At 35.0% G+C, this 22,573-nt stretch overlaps 1 protein-coding gene across 2 annotated transcripts in view; it reads left to right on the forward strand.

The window, feature by feature from the left end:
* The window catches only part of IL1RAPL1 (interleukin 1 receptor accessory protein like 1), a 1,369,273-nt gene that overhangs the window by 398,545 nt on the left and 948,155 nt on the right, over nt 1-22,573 (forward strand). The window lies entirely within an intron of this gene.

The following is a 22,573-nucleotide window of genomic DNA, read 5'->3' on the forward strand; positions in this document are numbered from 1 at the left end:
TTTTATGAAAATGAGTAGAAATCGAAAAATGCAGTGCTGATAATGCTAAGAAGGATAGACTCATGGAGATTATTATGCATATTGTATTAGCATCAGGTGGCTGTAAATGCATTAGATATAAGCTGGTAGATGGTGGGCTACATGAGGAAGAAAAATAAAATCAAAGAAGACATAAAACTTGCTGACACTACAACAACCTCAAAGTTGTGCCTAAAAGATGAGATTTAATCGAGTATTTTTAAAAACTAGATGCTAGATCTTATGGAATAGAAACTTGTTTCCTATCATGTAAGTCTATTAAAATTTTTCCCATTAAGAATTTATTTAAAAATTCGTAACTGCATTATGTAGAAATTACATGGAATATGTCTTATACTTTGTCTTTTCCCCAAAAGTGTTATTTCTTCCCATTTTATACCTAATAGAGTAGAGGTTAAGTAAATGGAGGAACATAATAGAACTAGAAAGTTGCATAGATAGGATTAAAATGTAGAATGTTTTGGCTTCAAAGTCTCTGTTCTTTCTAGTTCATGACTTCTTTATAAAAATATATTTATCAGTGTTTTTGGTTGGATCATCACAAAAGTGGGTTCTTCCTTCACTTGTGTAGACAGAAATAAAGAGTGAAATTATAACATACAAGGGAGTAATTTGAAACATGCTCATTTTTCTTGCTGTTGTCGAAAATGAGTATTTTATATTGTTTTCTTTTTAAAACACAATTTGCTCCCCTGCACAGAAAAATATACCCGTTTTTCTTTAGAAATTTACTAAATTTTTAATTTGCTAATCCCAAGGGAAGGATTATTTTCTTAGGATTAAGTATAGTCAATTGGTATTATGATGTTGGGAAGTAAAGTGCAGAATTCTATTAAGGACTTAGTGATTTGGATTTGTCAAAGAAGAGCCACTCCGTGATGTAATTTGCATGGTCATATATATATGCAAAGTTCTGTTTCAGCTTGGAGACTTTATCTTTGAATTTTCACTGAGAAGATATTGGCTTATTCCTATTTTAGAATCTGTTTAGCCATGACTCTGGACACACATGTATAGAAAGAGTAACTCCTTTGTACATGTGCTTTTGAAATATTGCCTATGATCGGTGCCTCCTTAGGGAAAGTGAGTTTTTTGTTAAGAGTCTGAAAGTCTATTTAGGAAAGTTGTTTTCAAAGAGTGTCCTGAAGGTTACTTGGTCTGACTTAACAGCAAAGTCAATTTAACAGTAGTCTGCCTTGCAGAATCCTGGATCTATCAGAGATTGAGTTCTCCATGCTGTGTGGGAAAATTATACTGGCTGATTTTGGGAGAAGTTACTGTGGGAACACATTTTGGCACATTTCTGCTGAAGCCAGAAACCTGAATGCTTTGTTCTTTGTGAGGTATCAAAAATAAAAATTCCTGAAATTCTGACATCCTGCCTGCTCCCTTATCTGGGTTAAATGCTGTGGTAAACTTCTCTTTTGGTTGAAATATTTAAAAAGGAAAGCAATACATATGAACAGACACATATTTATACACACACACACACATACACACACACACTTGCATTTCTTTACTTGAACTATCTTGTTGAATCCTAATTACTAAACTCACATACTGCTTCTTCCCAGGGAATATAGAATATTACTGTTATCAAGATACGCCACACCTATCCTCATTGGCGACCTACCCCCTCAATTCTCCTTGCTGGTTTATTGGATTAAAATAGAGAAGCAGAAATCTTATGTAGGAGGAATATGTTGACAAATGGTGGGTTTTGTCTTGATAATTTCACCAAATATGTGAATTGACTTTGTCAGTCATTAAAGTAAGTGTGCTGAATGCCCTCTGTGTGTGTATCAGGATAAGTGGTCTAATCAAGTTCAAATGTTCTGTGTCTATTTGGCTCAGCTTAATTAAAATTCAGCCCTGCTTTTGAGCAAGCCACAGTGGGTTGGCAGACCTTCAAAGGGCTATATTGCAGCAAACAATAAAAGTGATAAAGGCACACAATAGCAATCAATACAATGCAAATGCCCCTGTTACTCAAAAATCCAGTGGAAAGTGATTGCTTGAAACATGCTTATCCACTTCTCATCATAAAATTAAAGTTTTTGCATCACTTTATTTGTAAGTTTGCCTACACTCTCCTTGTCAATGGGCTTGCTTTTTTTTTAACTACGAATGGAGTGAAAGAAAATGATAGTAAGATAAATCAGCTCAATACAAATCAAATACTGTTTAAATTTTTACAGCTTTTGTTTTATTTGTTACACATATGGGTGAAAACTTACTCAAAGGATTTTTACCTGTATGAGGAAGACAGCCGTAATTCATCCTCCATTCATTTGTAGTGGAGGTGGTATATTCTTGGTGATCATCCTTTTTTTTTCTTCCAGTCCACTGTTTTTGGCTGGCTGCCATGGTCCCAGATTTTCTCACAAACTGCCATCTGGCATTCTTGCTGTCCCTCACATATAGCTTTGTCAGGACCTCCTCCAAGCAGGCTGGAGAATTTCACAGCTTGGGGGCATGGGAGTATACACGAAGTTGCAGCCACTTCAGGGTTGATTTCTCACCTACAACCCACATATCTGTCACTGCTAGATGTTTAGTGGAAAGAGCTGCTAGGGCACTGGAGATTAGGGGACCTGGAAAGAAGTACCCACTCACCTCTGATGAGCTGTATTTTTAGTCACTCTGTATTTGAAGAATAGAGATTTTTAAAACCTGATCTCTGTATTTTACATAATCATCGTGGAACATCACTGTGGGTAAATTATTATGAAAGATACTTCTAGAAATTCAAGATGGAGATATTGATATTACAATATCTCTTATAGCACACATGATTGTTGTATCATCTCAAAGTTTTCAATGAATGCTTTTATCTGTAAGCATTCATTGTAAGACTGAATCTGTATATATAATTCCACAATGTAACTAAAATATAAGAGAAGGAAAGTTTCACATCTCATCCAAGTTAGGTACATGAGGCCACCAATTGCAGAACTCTAGAAGTATTTTTGTTACAGTTTTTCAACCCAGTGAAACACTATCTCTTCTGTGTGTATGCTTTAAGTTTCATTTTGGCTTCTAGGCTTTAATCAAGCACTGAGATAATTATTATAAAGGTATGCTTCACCATTGTATTAACTACATCACTGACTTCAATAGCTGAAAGAGAGGCACTGGGATAGCGCCATCACAACTGTTCACAAAATTCTGGCCAGTGGAACAGCTAGTCACAAGGCCAAGGTTTTGTGAACTGTGTCTATGGCTGTATCTCAGTACATCTCTTATCTTCTGCAGTGGAAGCCAATGCTTCTCACTTCTTTTATATTTCATCCATTACCTACTTATTGCCCTTAAATCATCCTAAACTTTGATTGTTTTGTTATTCTGTTAAAACCATAAATGGCAGAAAATAAATTTGAAAACTAATTATTAACATCAGTAACATGCTCTCTTAACATGCTGAAGAATATCATACTTTCAAGTGAGAGCAGCCAGATCAAGTGTTAATTTTTGTTTTAGATGCCATGTTAAGATAATAGCTTTTAGAAAAGACGTACACCTCTATTGATACACTGACGCATATACAAGGTTCAATGAAATTCCTACTGTAGAGTATTGACTGTGACATTTATATTTTGTGTCAAACAATTATATAGATTCTGAATGTCTACGAAGCAAAATTGTAAACACAACTAACATCACTTCTTTCTTAGATAATTTAATCAAGATTTCCCTGTGAACATAAAATATAGAATAGTTAGTGGTTAATATTTTTGGGAAATTTCCATCATAGTATAATAAATATTTGGGGAAGACAAACCTATACTTGTAAAGAATAAAATTTTCTTAAAAAGTGTCATGAATATATTGCTCAAATTTATTCTAATATAGTTTATGATAGAAAAATTATTTCTAGGTAGTTATGTTAAATAGTTACGAAAAATGCCAATGAATGTCAGGTTAAACAAGTTTGCAGTACTTTCAAGACATGGAGTAATTTGGTAAATTATTGTATTTTAACAACAGATGTATTTTCTGATTTTTTTTTATGTTCTGAATTTTAATGTGCAGAACTTACACTATAGTAACCAAGCAAAAATCTCAAAGGGTATTCTTTTTCCAAAGCCAAAAACAAATTAAAAATTAGATGGACCAGTGGCCCCCAGGTCGGCACCCCTACTCTCCAATTGAACAGTTACTTCATTCCTAAGTGCATGTGACCATAATCTGCTTTGAGCATTATATTCAAACTTTATCAGTCTTTGTTTCAGTCTGTCCAACTTCTGAGCCCAATCCTCCAGCCTTCCTTTGAGAACATATCTAGAATAAGCTTACCTTGTATTACATCTCAGAAGTTTCTTAAAACTAAATCGGGGATAGTATCATTGGTAAGTAAGCTTTCGTTGATCTGGATAGGAGATATCTGCCTGAAATGTGAATTAATCTGAAATCCTTAGACATACTAAATAGTTCTCTATTTCAGTGAAACAGACAAGTATTCACCGATTCTTTTCAGTTTGTTATCTGAAGCTTAAGTTTCCTACTTAGTTTTTTCCTGTTGCTCACTTTTGACCTATAACTAAGAATGAGGCCGAAGATATATACCATCAGGTTGCCAAAGGAGAAACAAAGTAGGTAGGTTCTGGGGCCAGCCACTCTGCCAGTGACCGTCTGTTGAGATCTTTCTATATATAGAGTCAACCAACTGCAAATATATATGAGACCAGGATGTCTCCAGTATAGAATCAAAATGCCAGATTTGAGCATCCTGTGTGGCTCACCCAACAATGATGGTATCCATATGTTAGATGGTTTTATTTTGTACTGCTTTCATATAAACTCTTCGGAGGCCTTTGAATAGGGATTTTTTTCTTCTATAATTTTAAATACCTCAATGCCAATGAGATATGAAACTCATAGCTATAACTTCTCCTACAATTAGGGACAACAATTTAAATTTGGAAAAGTAGATGACTAAACAAATGTATATGAACATATACATCTTCAAATATAAATGCTTTCTTAATGGAGGCTTGCTCATAGAAATCAGAAATGTATAGTTTGTTTGCTGTTGTATCAACCTGCATTTGACTATGATTCTGTTCTAAATGTAAGTCTTGTCTCAATTTTTGAATTTGTTATGGAGTCTTTTAAAGAGACAGGAACATATCAATAGAAGAAACAGATTCTACTGTGTGTATACTTGTGTTTGTGTATGAGAGCATTCACAAAATATTCATACTTTTAAACTAACTCCCACAGAAAAATTTAAAACTAAAATCACTTAAAACATATGATTGGCAAGAGCTTCAACAACCTGAGAACTCTATGCTTATCAGATGAAAGAAGAAGCAGCATTATGAAAATGTATCTGGATACCATAAGATAATTTCAGAGTACATCAGGTGAAAACAGTGAGAGGGGCTCTTTGTTCATCTGACCTTATATTTTATAAAAACTCAACCTTCGATTCCATGATAAATAGAATATCAAAATCCCATAATGTCAGATATGTATCTCATCTTTGATCTTCTGAAATGTTATGTATGTCAAGTTAAAAAATCTTGAACTTTGATGGTAATAATAACATGCAAATATTTTGATCAAAACTGGTTACTTTGCAAAGACCGAAATGATATTGAAGTACTTGTTTTTTCAAGAGTCATATAGAGACATAAATATATTTGGATAGCATAAAACTTAGGAACAAATTATTGTTAATGAGAGTTCTGAGATAGAATTTTATATTTAGATTTAATACTTTTAAAATAACATTTTTCAAAATGCAAATTGAAATATTATATGGATGCATACCATATTATGCACAGGTAGCGTTTATTTAACTTTTGTTTCACAATTATTTATTGAATGTCTTTTTTTGTGGGAGATGCTATAGTAGGCACTAGTAATTATGTGAATAATAAAATAGATGCAATCCCTGACATTGTGGACTTACTTTCGAGTTTGGTGCTATAAAACTTGGTTCTCTTTCAGTCAAATCTAGGTTGAATTATTGGCTTCAGTTTTTACTGACTGAATCCATTTGAATTTCAATACCTTATGAGAAAGCTATGGCTTAGATAGAATATAAAACTTGGTAGTCAATAATGGAACTAGGAAATAAAGCCAAGCTTGCCTGACTCTCAATTCAATAATTTCCCCGTTATTCTAGATTAGATAATAAATGTATAAGTGTGAATTTAAAACTGCAAAGTATGGGCTGGGTGCGGTGGCTCACACCTGTAATCCTAGCACTTTGGGAGGCCAAGGTGGTGGATTACCTGAAGTCAGGAGTTTGAGACCAGCCTGGCCAACATGGTGAAACCCCATCTCTACTAAAACTACAAAAATTAGCTGGGCATGGTGGCACATGCCTGTAATCCCAGCTACTTGGGATGCTGAGGCAGGAGAATTGCTTGAGCCTGGGAGACGGAGGTTGCAGTGAGCTGAGATCATGCCACTGTACTCCAGCCTGGCTGACAGAACGAGACTCTGTCTCAAAAAAAAAAAAGAAAAAAAAAAAAAAAGAAGAAAAAAAAAAGAAAACTGCCAAGTATGGTAGAAATAACAATTGGCTTTATAATAGCTATTTAATTTTATTTAATATTCCTTGGCAATTTTATTTATATAATTAACCAATATTCATTGAGTGCCTACTATTTGGCAAACATAGTTTGAGATCTTGGGGATATTTTCAGGAACAAGAAAATAAGTCCCACTTCTCAGAGTACTGAAGTTTTAGCATGAAAATATAGACAATAAACAAATACTTGAGAAAATGTTTAGTGCTAAATGCTATGGTAAAAAGTAAATCAGGGAAACTAGATGCTCAGGAAATCTTTCCCAAGTGGACCTGAATGACTAAAAGAGCCAACCATGCTAACATGTGGGGAAGAATGTTTGAGAAAGAAGGAAAATCTAGTGCAAAGCCCTGAGAATGGAATGAGGTTGGTATGATCAAAGGTCCAAGAGAAATCAAGTGTGGCTAGAGCACTAGCTTTTAAAATGTGATTACCAGATCAGCAACCTCATCATCCAAGTATTTATCAGTATTCTAGGCATGTTAATTTCCTTGATTTGAAAATTATGCTGTGATTCGGTAAGACCTTAACATTCAGCGAAATTGCGAGTAAAGGGTATATGGCAGGATTTCATTGTCCTATTTTTTGCAATTTTTTGACAAATTTGAAAATATTTGCAAATGAAAATTTAAAAAAGAAATGAGCAATTATACAGCAAAAATGAAAGGTTTTAAGCAGTGCAACCAGTGGAATACTGTGATCTAGTTTGGGTTTTAAGAAAAATATTATTGCTATATGATATAAAAAATGGGTTAGAAGAGGGAATTTAATGCAAGCGCAATGACCGGTGAAGGAGCTGTTGCCATTGTCCAGAGGAGACATGATGGTGGCTGGCACTGGGGTGGCGGCAGTAGAGATGAGCTGTGAACAAGTCGATCCAAGATAATATAATTTGAAGATACAATTGGCAAGGCTTACTGATGGATTGATTGTGAGAAAGAGTTAACAGAAATAGAAAAGTCAAGGATGCTTAGGTTTTAGACCAGAGCCACTGGCTTGATGCTAGTGATATTTATTTATTGAGAAGGCAAAGATTGAAGTAGGAGGTTGTCAAATAATGGCACTTGATTAATTTTTACAAGTAAATTATTAAAGGAAATCTAAACGGACAATTTGCATTATCTTTGAGTATTTGTGATTATTAGCTGGTAGTGACGAATTTAACTTGATGAATGCCATATTGTCTGTAAATAAATTAACTCACTTGAGTGTTCTCATATTTTTCCCGATTTTTTAGTTGAATGCAGCTTTAGAACATTAAATTGTGCCATATATTAAATAAAATAATTAAACAATACCAACAAGCACTCTTAATTTGCTCTTCTAAATTTTATATCCTTATGTAGTTTATTATTTTATTCAACAAATACTTGTGGAGTGGCTACTTTGTACCAGGTACTCTTTTCATCACTGGAAATATAACACTGAACAAATAGGCTGAAATCTCTGCCCTGATAGAGCTTTCATTCTGGTACATTCTAGAATGAGGCATTTTAAGAAAAAAAAAAGTATGATATGTGGGTGAAATAGACAGTTTAAACAAGAAGTAAAATGACTATTAAGCCAGTTAATACCAAGGATATGGACCAAATTGAAGCCAATAAGGAGCATTGATAATATGAGAAAGGAAGGGTTTGGGTCTGGAGGGGGTTTTAACTTAAAATAAGGTCATTTGGAAAGACCTCTTTGATTAAGAGTTAAGGGATGGAGTTACAAAGTGCTAAGAAGAGAGGTCATAAAAGTGGGGGAATAGGCAGATATAGGAAGCTTTGTATGCTTATTTCAAAGACGACCCTGTGATTGCCGGAATGACTGGAAGGATGGCATTGCCATTTATCGAAATGGAGAAGACAGCCGAAAGAGTGGGTCTGGATTGTGGGCATGTTTGGGAGGTCATTTTGGACCTGATAAATTTGATATGCCCTTTAGACTTCCAAGTAGAGATTCCAGTGGCTGGTAGGATCTAAGAGATCATAGATCACATGAGAGGCCCATACCTCTGAATAGCAAATGTTGTATCAAATTAAGAAGTTATATTTCAGGGTTTTTTGTGTTTGTTGTTGTTGCCAAGGAATTGATATACAGGAATAAGTTCCTGATAGGTTTAAATGCAGTGAAGAGTGATTTTCTCAATTCTCGTGAGAATTTGGATCAGAATAATTTTATTTCAATGAAAAATCTGAAATATCAAATGCAGCTTAATTGCATTGACATTATTAAAAGAATGAGGACTTAAGCATATGGCAAATTTAATTAAAATATTACTCTTATAGAAGAGTGATCATAGTAGAGGACTTTTTTCTTTCTTAAAGCAAATTATATGCCTTCAGCAGTACTTATTTTTACAAAATGCAGAAGACTGTATTTAAGATGATTTCTAGTTCATGTTATTATGTGGTGAAATAAGGAAATGCATGAAGCTGTGTTATGTTAGTTTGGGTTATCTTCGAAGCCTTTGATTGGGAATTGACTACTAAACACTGTAAATAATATATAAGTACTAAGTTCTGAATGTGAATGTGATCTTACATAGTCATCAAGCCATTATGTGTCCTTTGTTTTCCTATCAAATGTAGGGGGCAATAATGTCAGCTATTATATATTTATTTTAAAAAATATTTTGAAAATGAGAACAAGGCTATAGATATACCTATAAATGTGAATATATTTTCAATTCTTCAATAAAATATGTTTTAAAATAAGAAAACCTGTTCTTTTTCTCATCTTCACTAATCTCTTTTTAGCAGGAAAGATTATTTTTTGTTTGCAAATAACAAGGCTTAGGCATTAAGTAAGCGCTAGGGAGAGGAACAATAGATCTACCCTAGAACAGATTGAGGAATCATACTTAAAAGACCCATATATTAACTTGGAAATAAGAGGTAGAAGAAAAGGAGGAAAATTAGGAGAAATTACTTTGCTAGAGATTGTTTTGCATTGATCATCAAATGATAAAAATGTCTTCTTTGAGGTTTTCATTTAGGATCTCTGAACTAATATTCATATTATTGCTGTAGAGGTATTATAAATTCCCAGTCATTAGCATAAGGATTTAGTGACAGATCTGAGGTTCTCCAAAAACACCTCAATGCCAAGCAAATGATTCTGCTATTAGTCTTCTTAATGCACCTGGCAATTTCCTGTCTTTCTACTTTGATCTTCTTTCTCTTCTCAGGTTTGCAACATTAAGAAAGGGGTAGTGGCAAAAAGAAAGAATGTCAACTTAGAAGGCTAACTTTGGGGGAAATCAGTATAGCCGAGGCATCCCCCAAAAGCTTCCTTTGCGTTAATGCAAACTTCCACACAATATTTACCAACTTCTATGAACCAGAAAAGGCTCATTCTTAAAAAAAAAAAAGACAGCTTTATTGAGATATAATTTACATACTATATAATTTACCCATGCAAAATTTAAGATGCAGTGGATTACAGGATATTCACGGTGTTGTGCAACCTTTACCAAAATTAATTTTAGAACATTTTCATCATTCCAAAAAGAAACCCCATGCCCATTAGCAGACAGTCTTCATTTTCCTCCAAATACAACCCCTCCCTTCCTCAGTCCTGGGCAACTACCAGTCGACTTTCTGTCTTTATGGATATGCTTAGTCTGGACAGTTAATATAAATGAAATCCAGTCATATGTGTCCTTTGTGACTGGCTTCTTTCATGTAATGTAATGTTTTTAAGGTTCACCCATGTTATGGCATCTATCGGTACTTCATTTCTTTTGATTTCCACACATCGTCCATTATATGGATTTAGAACATTTTATTTATCCACTAATCATTTGATGATCATTTGGGTAGTTTCTATTTTGGGCTATTACGAATAATGTTGCCATAAAATTTTTTGTACAAGTCTTTGTATGGGCACTTCTTTTGGGTATGTTCCTAGGAATGGAATTCCTGGGTCATATGATAATTCTATGTTTAATCTTTTGAGGTACTGCCAGAATGTTTTCTAAAGTGGCTGCACTGTTAACATTCCAAACAGCAGTGTATTAGGGTTCTGATTTCTCTGTTGATCTCCACCAACAATTGTTATTTTGTGTGTGTGTGTGTGTGTGATACAATACACTGAACATAAAATGTACCATTTTACGTGTACAATTAAGTGGCCTTAAGTACATTCACAACGTTGTGCAACCATCACCATTATCTAGTTCCAGAGCTTTTTCACAATCTGATTGTAGCCGTCATAGGATGTGTGATATGGTAACTCATTGTGATTATGATTTGCATTTCCCTGATTGCTGATAATTCTGAGCATCTTTTTGTGTGATTATTGGCCATTTGTGTATTTTTAAAGAAATATATATTCAAATCTGTTGCCAATTTTTAAACTGGCTTTTAAAATTATTGAATTATAATAGTGAAAAGACTCATTCTTAAGTTAACAATGAATGTATTACATGAAAAACTCAACCACCCCATGGTTTCAGTTTAAATGTATTTTCCAGGGATCATGGACTTACCCAGTGCGCAGATAGGACATCTTTATGACATCAGAACATTGATGTCAAGTGCCTATTGGTTCAGGGTAGTGTGGAAGAAGTTGTACAAAAGCAGGCACTTTTATACCCTTCTCTCTGAGAACATTCATCTCTAAAAAACATACATGAAAAAACTGCCAAAAACCTGATGCATTTGTGGTGTAATATTAATTTATTGGATATGAACTTGTTTTGTTGTAAACTACCAGAGTGCTTTGAAGAGGAATTTTATTAAATCATATTCTTAAGAAAAGTATTAAATCAGAAGGTGCACATATGGATATGCTTATTAGTAAGATAACTCTATGTTGGTGATATTCAGTGTATAGTTTTCCAGAGCTGAAGTGAGTTTTCTGTTTCCACAGTTTAAATGAAATGTGTTTCAAAATGACACTTAGGATATCTGATGGAGATGTTGTCCCCTGTCATGTTTATCATTTAATCTTATATGGCCTCAAAAAGAGAAAATCATCTTTTTGGCATACTGGCATACTTAATTTATGCAGCATACTATATAAATCCTAAAGGGAGGACTGAGCCAAGCCAGAGAATGGAATAACCTACTTTATTTGCAAATGGATAACCATAGACATGTCCAGTTATTATTAAGATAAACAGGAAATGATGACAAAACCAAGATCTTGGCTATGTTAACAAATTTCAGTTTCTCAGTCTATTTCTGAAAATGTTGAGTTCCTTCCAAGATCCCATGTTCCCCCCACCCCCACAACCAGATTTATTCCAGGCAATAGTAAATACACCTGGTATTCAAGGGAAAATATTCACATATTCACTTTTAAAGCCAGTTTTGAAGGAGTCTCCAAGACATTGAAGGGAACCAGATGGTGTGCAGACCATTCTACAAAGGTTTATGATTAGTTTGGCTAAAGCAGCTGGTCTCTGCAATGAAAGAGTTGTCATGGCAGAAAAATCCCCTTTTCCCTCAGTGCAGCTGGGCTTGTCCAGGGACGACTTTTCCCAGGCAAGTGTTCTCTCTCCATTGGGTGTTTGCAAAGTCTGTTGTACTTAGAGAAGTTAAACCATTTCTGTTGAACCAAGTTGACAAAAAACACAAATAAGCCAATGTTATTTATTTATTTTTTTTAGCTCAGGATGGTTTAATTGCCTTAAAAAAAAAAGTTTTCACCTCTGAGTGGGCCTTTTCTGTCCAGTATTAGAAATAACAACTGAGACTATTCAGGAAAAAAAAAATGGCACTCTTCCAAAAGAGAAAGTGAACTTCAACACAATTCTCAGATTCAAAAGGACTGCAAAGGAGGATTATTTCTGCCAGCTTTGGTCATTTGACAGCTACAATTCTCCTTCTTCAATATGTCATCACAAATCTCTCTCAACATATTAATGGGAATCCTGCATTTAATTCTTTCATGTTTATGGAGAGGGAGGTGGGGTGGAGAGGGAGACTGAGAGAGAACTTTCACCTTCTATATGTGATAATATGTTTAAATGTAATTAACTGTTCTGCTTTTGCCGTTAAAATGTTATTTTGCATTCCCATCGTATTGATTTTAAATTGAAACTCAATGCTTTTGCAAAGACAGTCTTGGGGTTATAAAATGATAGGTTTTATTGCAAAGAGAGGAATATTTATCTGAACAGATACATGAGTGTTTCCATAAAGAATGGGCCTATTTTACTTTATCAGCAACTAAGGGGAAGGTTAATGGCTATGATGTATCTTTTCTGTTGTGTGTGAAACATGCAGTGTTCTTGCTGTTGAGATTTATGGTGTGGAGGACAAAGCAGGTGCTATTCCAAGCCTTCTTTCAACAGCGGAGTATAAACTAGGGCCTGAACTTATCTGTCAAAAAGTAAGTTAAAATAACGTTAGAGAAAGCCTAGAATTTCACACTTTTCCATACCTTCCTGTCTCTAGCTCAGGAATTTAGGCAGGGTGATTAATGACCACTGTTATTTGTGAGCTTTCCAAGTCCCTACAGACATAATGAACTTGACTTTTCAGCCACGTAGAAGGAAACAGGCTGTTAGAGCTCTACAACATGACATGTTCATAATTATGAGCTCTCTGCAATTGGGAAGAAAGAGGAAGAAAAGAGAATAATCTTCTCATGTCCCATAGTCTCAACTTCAAACATCCTCTACTCCCTCTCTTTCTTCTTTCCCCATCTTCTTCCCGCCTACACACACACTCACACACACAGAATGTATCTATACTTTTATTAATCCAGAAACAAAGTCTGACTCTACTTAATCTTGCCTCTTATTTTTCCTTCATATCAAGCAAGCAAATCATGCTTACTGATTTCTTTGTCAGAATATCGTATGGATTTGTCCTTCCCTCTGTTCTATTCACCCTGTCGTCTTGTGTTTATGCTAGCCCAATCCCTGAGTTAATTTAGGCTCCAGGCACTGTATGCTTTTTGAGGTAATACAACCTCTTCATTTTCCTGTGTCTTTTATTTTAACCCCAGCAGTTTATTTTCTTGCTTTTCAAAATCTTTTTTATTCTGACCCCACCTCCAAAGATTGTATATGCTCCCTCTTTTTGTTATCGCTAATGTAAATATCTCTTATCCTTTTGAAGTTCAACATTCATTTCCATCAAGATGTACTTTAAATGCATCTTCTTGTATAATCCTTTTCAGACCAGCTTCACCTGGTAAGGTCCATTCTGATAAACTGCTTACAATGTTTTTACCCCGTAATACTAATCATATCTTAGACTACTTACTTAAATAAAATACAACTTCTTGCGCATAGGTATTTGTTCTAAGGATAGTTGCTTTGTTATCTATATAGTCAGTATTCAATGCCTTTTCAAATATAATTCAACAAGGCCTGTTTTCAACCTCAAAGAAGTGAATGAAGAGTCACTAACTTTAAAGTTCCAGCAATCCCACAGCATTCCCCGGCTCCTCCAGAGTACCTGTGGAAATTAGATTCCTTGTAAGCCACTGGTAATTTTAAGAGTCTGCTGCTCTTAAGGAAAGAGTCTGCTGCTTGCTACAAGATAGCAGAAATTAGTGTGTTGGTTAGTTCTGATCCTGAAAACCTTGCCTTTATCAAAGACAGAACATTTCCTGAATCTCCCGATGATATAGTAAAGTAGTGGGGAGAAATTAATCTCCATCCTCCGCCAATGTTTTTACCGGATACTGCATGGCATCCTTCCTATTATGGAGTGTTATTTTGACTAGAAAAAGGATTAGGTGGCACCATGGGAGAAAGGCATAGTCTGGTTGAAGCTTATACGAATTTTCATTTACATCCTTTCTTTTTGTCTTGCAAATTACTATTCTTTTTCTCTCTCATTTCCACCCTAGAAGTCCCTTAGATGCTCTCTTTATTCTCCATTGCTCTCTGATGCTCTTTTATTGAATTCTATGCTCCTTGAATACAGGTCTTATGTCTTGTTTACCTTTGTATTATTACAGTTATCTCTGTGCCTTCCACACAACAGGTAATCAATAACAATTTGCTTAATGGAATTGAGTAATTTTAGAAGACTAGTCTATATTATAGACTCTGATAATTTCCTTTTATTCTACAAAAAAGATTTTCTATCCCAATTTTTCTTACCAGTATCATACCACTCACAATACAGCATGCTGCTATTCCATCAGCCCAGAGAATGTGTATGAACACAGCTACTCAGGTATTCCTTATTTTTTTCTTTTGAACTAATCTTAAAGACACTGATTATATCTCTCTTATGAAGAGCAATTATACAATTTTGTGGTAGTTCTCTTTTTACAAGTTTATCTTCTTAGAGAAGTATAACTCTTTTTTTTTTTTTTCCAAAAAGGAGACTATTTCTCAGTATCCTGGGGACATAGCATGATGTGTGATAAATAGTTATTGCTCTTTTTTTTTTTTCAGAGTGTGATCTTCAGGTGATCTTTTCATGCTTTTTCCATCCTTTCTTCATATTGTCTTTGACTTGTCATAGTTTCTGCCTGGCACAGTGCCTCCTAAATTCATCTATTACTCTCACCTTTCTTTCCACTTTTCTCATGTGAGAAATACACATTTATCTTCATTTACCCTGGAAGGTTTTCTCCTTAACAACAGTGTCACACATGACATACTATACATTGCATGCTCTACAAAATAAAACATAACCTATGAGAGAACAAATTCATAAGTTTTATTGTAATCAAAATATTTTTTTGAAAAATCTTACATACAGTATTAATTTTTCAGTTTTCTCTGATACAAAAGACACCCTCACTTAATGAGAAAAAAAGTCTTAGAATACGAGAGCTGGAAAGTGTCTTTGGGAGATTACTTGGCACATAAATATGATGCATAGAAGGTAGGAAATTACTGCATAATTACACAAGTAATCAGTGACACAGTGTCTAGATAGCCCAAGTCTTCTAGTATAATTATAAGGCCACATATCCGTCATGGTGACTCATGTCTTTATTCACACTGACCCTGTTTTTAATTGTGTGGATTTTCACAGAGGAAAAAAAATGGTGGTCTTTGTAGAGCTGGAATGAGTGAATACTTTCTGGTAGATACATTCATTTTTCACATTTAAATATAATCTTAGTGGATTTTAGTTTTTACTAAACTACTTAGGAAAATAAGGTTAAATAAGTATATTTTTTAAAGATTTGACCTTCTAAAAGTTCATTTAAAAGAAAGAAAAAATATTTTAATTGATGGAAAATGAGCAAATTTATTCAAAGTGACATTAGTTGCAAATTCATTCTGAGATCATCAGATATTAAAGCAATGCATTTAGAAACGTTATTCTTCATATTACCAAACTGAAGCAATTTAAATGTCTATCAATAGTAGAATGGATAAGAAATTGTGGTAAATTCACACAATGAAGAACTTTTTTTTTTTTTTTTTTTAACGGAGTCTGGCTTCGTTGCCCAGGCTGGAGTGCAGTGGTGTGATCTCAGCTCACTGCAACCTCCCCCGCCGAGTTCAAGCAATTCTCCTGCCTCAGCCTCCCGAGTAGCTGGGATTACAGGTGCATGCCACTATGTCCGGCTAATTTTTTTTTGTATCTTTTTAGTAGAAACGGGGTTTCACCATGTTGGCCATGCTGCTCTCGAACTCCTGACCTTGTGATCTGCCCACCTTAGCCTCCCAAAGTGTTGGTATTACAGGCATGAGCCACCATGCCAGGCCCCAAGAACTATTTTATCATGAAAATGATAGAACAAAACTACATGCTATAACATGGATGAAGCTTATAATCATAATCAAAAGAAGTTAGACCCAAAGGAATACTTATTATATAAATCTATTTTTATAAAGTTATAAAGTTCAAATCTGTGAGATTAGAAATCAAGGTGGTAATTACTGCTGGAAGGAGGGAAGGCCAGTGTTTTGGATGAGGCAGGAAAGGTGCTTCTAAGTACTGGTAATATTTCTTGACCTATTGATGGTTACACAGGCCTGTTCATGTTGTGATAATTCAGTAAGCTTGGGATTTATATACTTTTCTATATGTATGTTTTTTTAAAGCCAAAATTAAAAAAAAAAAGACTAAAGGGGAAATTTATTGAATACCATTAGCTTTTAAAATGTATTTTTGTTTTTACTTAAGAGTTTTAAAAAGTAGTCATATTTTAAATTTACATATTGTTGGGAAAATTCTGCCAATGGTAGGATAAAACAATAGATTTCAATTGAAATATTGAAAGCAACTTGTGTTGGTAAAAGATGAGAAGTGAAGGTGGAAGACTGATTAAAACTACCAAAAATATCATAGTGATAACACTTTTATTTTTCTTTTTTTGTGGGGGTGGGGATAGTACCATTATAAAAATACAAACATAAGCTGCTTTTGTACATCACCAAATAATTCATTGAAATTTAAGGAAATCAACCAGTTATGTGTGTACACACACACACACACACACACACACGATCTCATAGAGTGAAGGGTTAATTGGAATACTGACTGAGTGCAATGTACAAGAAAATGTACACACTGAATACAAACAAGGGAAAAAAATCAACTTTGCCTAGGAGAATAATAAATATAATTATAGGAAGGAGGGGGGACAGGGTAGGTGTTAAAAAGGAGTTTCCTGGGAAAATAAGGAAGTGAAGAAAGGCATTCCAGGCATAAAATATGCTTGCTATGTGCAAAACAACAGTGGGAAATAGCATAGACTCTTCCATGTACATACTGCAAGTGGGTATGTGATGGTGGAGCTACAGTTGGAAAGGTAGGTAGGGGTCGTATCATCTAGCCCGATTTACTAGAGTTTAACTTTATTTACTCATGAATAGGTAGATCTTGACAGATTTTAATGAGGGGAGGGACATCAGGTGCCAAGTACCTACAAACATTTAAACAAGGGAAGGGTTTTATGGTTGCAGTGATTAGGACACGTTTGAGGAATATTTAGACAATTAAGTTAGTGGAACTTATATTTTTATAGGATGTAAATGAAGGGGCACAGGGAAGCCACCGAAGGTGATTTCTGAGATTCTGTTTTGCATAACTTGGTACATGATATGCCACAGACATAAAGGGGAAATGCTTTCAAAGAGATCTGTGTTTTTCTCAAATTTTACCCAATATATTTGCATAAAGCTCAATGTAGATTGGAACTATGGCAATTTGATTCAGTTCCACAGCTTAAGTAAGTGTTATTTTGTTCAGTTAATTGAAAATGAAACTATACCTGACAGGAAGCTGATTACTTATATGCTAATGTGACAGTATTATAGATCATAGGACTTATAACACCTATTAATTTGGTAAATGGGAAAAACAAAACTGTATACTGTGAAATAAGAATTTACGTTATGTATATAAGAAATAGTTGATTTAGGCTGGGTGTGGTGGCTCACACCTGTAATCCCAGCACTTTGGGCAGCCAAGGCAGCTGGATCACCTGAAGTCAGGAGTTTGAGACCAACCCGGCCAACATGGCAGAACCCCGTCTCTACTAAAACTACAAAAATTAGCCAGATGTGGTGGTGTGTACCTGTCGTCCCAGCTACTTGGGAAACTGAGGCAGGAGAATCACTTGAACCCAGGAGGCAGAGGTTGCAGTAAGCCCAAATCGCACCACTACATTCCAGCACTATACTCCAGCCTAGGCCACAGAGTGAGACTGTCTAGAAAAAAAAAAGATGAAGATACAGTTGATTTAATAAATGGTTATGATGAATGCATATTATCATACTTGCAAGTAAAAATGCATATGCTTATAAAATATTTTTGAACAGATATTTTAAAATCATAGCAGGTTTTAGAAATCAAATTTATGGAAAACGTACTAGTTTCATGTGTATACTCTAACAAAGTAGAAAGAGACAAAAATGTAGTTTGAGATCCTCTGCAAATGCCAAAATTTAGCCAGAGTAGGTAAAGGACTTGACAGATGAAATGCACTCTGTCTCTTACACTGAGTTTATACGGAGAAAAGTAATTTTCGTAGGCAGTGAACACATAAGGAAACTGGTCCAAGTCTTATGAATGTGAACATTAGTAGAAAATAAGTTATCTTTGAGTATTTAGTAGAAACACCAGGAATACTGCATAGAGGGAAGAAATAATCCAGGAGGTACTACTAATAAACACATTTTTAATTTTAGTTCACATATTTGGGAGAATTCTTACAAATTTCATCGGCTATATACCAAACCTGAAGAAAATATTCCTAATCAAATTCTGTGGTAAGCCAGGCACAGTGTCTCACACCTGTAATCCCAGTGCTTTGGGAGGCTGAGGTGGAAGGACCACTTGAGCCCCGGAGTTTGAGGCTGTTTTGAGGCTTGATTGTGCCACTGCCCTCCAGCTGGGTGACAGAGTGAGACCCTGTCTCAAAAATTAAAAAGTAAAACAAATCCTGTGGTGGCCACTCCTCATGATAGTGACAGGTACAGACAGTCTTGTTAATCTGTGGAAACACTGAAGTGAGCCAAATCATGTTGTTTAATGGTTCCCATTTGGCATTTTGAGCTTGTTTAAGGGTATAGCAAATAGAGCTATAAATAGTGCATTGAACTATGAATTAATATGGTCTGTCTGAAATCAATGGAATTTTCAAGCCCTTTCTGTTAATATAGAGAAAACCAACTTAAAAATTATGACTAGCATGCAGTTAAGAAACTTGGCAGGCCAAACATCTTAGAACTAATTAAACAAAAGTGATACATTTACTCACATGATCTACTAATTCATTATTATTGGTACGTTAGATGTTTTTCAAAAAAATACTGTTGTAAAAATTTCCCTCAGGTTTGACAATGATAAGGAGTGTTGTGAAACTACTGTGATTAAAGCACCAAAGGTACAATGGGTCATTTTATATATACAGCATTCCGTTAAGTGAAGTTGAATGCATAATGACTATATTAGCATAGAATATATGAGATTAGAATTAGGTTTTTTTTCCTCTGATTTGAAATTATTGGAAATCAAATAGTGACAAGAATGAGTATATTTTCCTTCAAGGCCCTTGAAAAACAAGTCTTCTGTGTCACGTTTTATCGGTTCTTTTAAAAAGAGTAAACTTTTAGCAGCAAGAAAGATGTTTGAACATTATTCGAGTAGCTGCCACTTTTAAAACCTATTGACTAGGGAAAAATGACCCCAATTTTTCCCCATTATGGTTTGTCTGTGTTTGCGAGTAAAGACGTGTCTTAATTAAAATGTTTTAAATATGTACCTAAAATTAATATGAGAAAGTCATAATAAAAGGCCAGATACTCTTTAGCATGGTTCTTAACCATCAAACTTTCACTTCTGGTTCTAAAATTATACACCTAGAATAAAATGAACATGTAAAAATATTCATGTGTCTTGACATTGGCCTTCTGATAAATCTAATTTGCTAATATAAAATCTTGTAAAAAGACTATAATCTACCAAATGAATTTACTACAATATACTCTTCTAAATAGATCTTACTTATAAACATATATGTGCAAAAAGAGAGAGAAAAGGTTTAATTTATAGTCTTAAAACCAATATGCTGGCTATCTTAGTGTATCTCCCCAGATCTACATCCACCTTCCAGAACATGCTCTATGCCATGGGAGGGGGATCTGTAAAGAATGCATCAATGGGCTTCCTGTCCTCCTGCCAGCTGGGTGTGGCCAGTGAGGAACACCAGAAAATTAATGAAAGGGGGAGAATTGGGTGGAGGGGTCTTTGTTCTTCTTGTTACATTTTTGTAAGTGATTCTTGAGGTGAACTGGAGAACAGATTTACCACACCTTCATCCCAGCACTTTGGGAGGCTGAGGCGGGCGATCACCTGAGGTCAGGAGTTCGAGACCAGCCTGGCCAACATGGTAAAACCCTGTCTCTGCTAAACATACAAAAATTAGCCGGGCATGGTGGCAGGTGCCTGTAATCCCAGCTACTTGGGAGGCTGAGGCAGGAGAATCACCTGAACCTGTAAGAGAGAGGTTGCAGTGAGCTGAGATGGCGCCATTGCACTCCAACATGGGCAACAAGAGCAAAACGCCGTCTGGAAAAAAAAAAAAAAAATCCCACACCTCCTGTCAGAAAGCCCTCTTTATCCATCTTGCCCTCAATCTCTGGGTTCTGGTATCCGTTCCATCCTTTAGCTTTGTCTTGCCCACATTTGTGTGTGTTTATATATATGTGTGTGTGTGTGTGTGTGTGTGTGTGTGTGTGTGTGTGTGTGTGTTATTAAATATTCCTCAAATTTCCCAACTCAAGTATGCTGTTTGTTTCCTGGAAACAGGAAGATATCTAGAATCTACTTCTAACTGGCTTTGAAAATCTGGCAGTGACAGCTGGGGGCTCAATTTTGTATACTTTAAACTTTAAATTTATATCATTTATATATTTATAAAATGCATATATTCATTCATTGTTAATAGTAATAAAATATATAGCAAGCATTTGGGAGGCAGTTTTAAAAGAAGGCCATTAATTTTGCTGCTTTAGAAAATGTTTTATGTAAGGTGTTTCAAAATTTGGAATTTGACTCTGCATGTAGCAATTGGTATGTGTTTTACTAAAGAATTATACTCTACCTGTAAAAGTTCTTTTAGGTAAAGACCTGGAAATTATATTCAACATTTGTGAATTGTACACTCTTTAATGCAGTCAGGATTACAGGCAAATTTTCTAGTAGAGTAAAAATATACATGAATTGTAAAAGTAATAAGAAAGGAAATTTGAATTTTGCTATAGTTGTTAGAGAGAAGGAGTTAGATGATTTTTATTCCTGTTGCCAGTAATACTAAGATAAAATGATTAGAGTCACATACACGTTATATATGAAAACTTATAGGAGGTATGAAGACCAGAATTGTTTAGGAGTTTATAATCTGAGGACTTATATGATGTTCTTTAACATTTTTTATGCTGAGAAAGAATATTATTAAACAATGAGTTAAGTCAGAACATAATGTGACAGTTAAATGTCTGTTAAAAAATACATTTTTGAAGGCAGAACTTCTGGTTATGGTAGAATATAGAGATCAGCAAACCCTTTCCCCAAAAAAGTAAAAATAAAGCTGGATAACATTGATAAAACCATGAGTTCAGTTTTTTGGAAATTGGCCAGAATCATAAAGTAATCTGGAGAGATTTCATGGCTTTGTAGTATAAATTACAATTATTCTAAAATATTTAATCTGAAGGCTATCATGAGATTTTAAAATGGAGGGGACATGCTAAGTAAAAAATGACAACAGGTGATTAAGCAAAAGTGAAAAATATTAATTTTAGTATATGATTCCAGCAAGTATGTTTGGACTGTTGAACTATTATGAATATTTACCTATCATTATCATCTTTTAAAATGTCTACTCACTAGAACATCTCACTAATTATGTATTTCTTTATTTCTCCCCAATAGTTGTGCTTTGATAGTTTTTGCAAATTTATTTAATCATACTTTATTTGAATGTATTACATTCATATTTTATTTTTTAACGCAGACATTTGATATATTCAGAATGGTAGAAAATTAAATGTACTTTTTTAGTATTATTATTATTTGAGACAGCTTCTCACTCTGTTGCCCAGGCGGAAGTGCTGTGGCACAATCTCAGCTCACTACAATCTCTCCCTTCTGGGTTCAAGCGAGTCTCCTGCCTCAGCCTCCTGAGTAGCTGAGATTACAGGTGTGCAGCACCAGGCCCGGATAATTTTTTTTTTTTTTTTATTGAGACGGAGTCTCACTCTATCGCCCAGGCTGGAGTGCAGTGGCGTGATCTCGGCTCACTGCAAGCTCCGCCTCCCGGGTTCACACCATTCTCCTGCCTCAGCCTCCCGAGTAGGGTAGCTGGGACTACAGGCGCCCGCCACCACGCTTGGCTATTTTTTTGTATTTTTAGTAGAGATGGAGTTTCACCGTGTGTTAGCCAAGATGGTCTCGATCTCCTGACCTCGTGATCTGCCCGCCTCGGCCTCCCAAAGTGTTGGGATTACAGGCGTGAGCCACCGCGCGTGGCCCGGGCCAGATAATTTTTGTACCTTTATTTTTTGAATTTGTTAATTAGCTTGATTTAATCATTTTATAACATAAACATATATCATAATA

The sequence above is a fragment of the Homo sapiens genome, chromosome X (assembly GCF_000001405.40).
Source record: "Homo sapiens chromosome X, GRCh38.p14 Primary Assembly".
Lineage (NCBI taxonomy): Eukaryota > Metazoa > Chordata > Mammalia > Primates > Hominidae > Homo > Homo sapiens.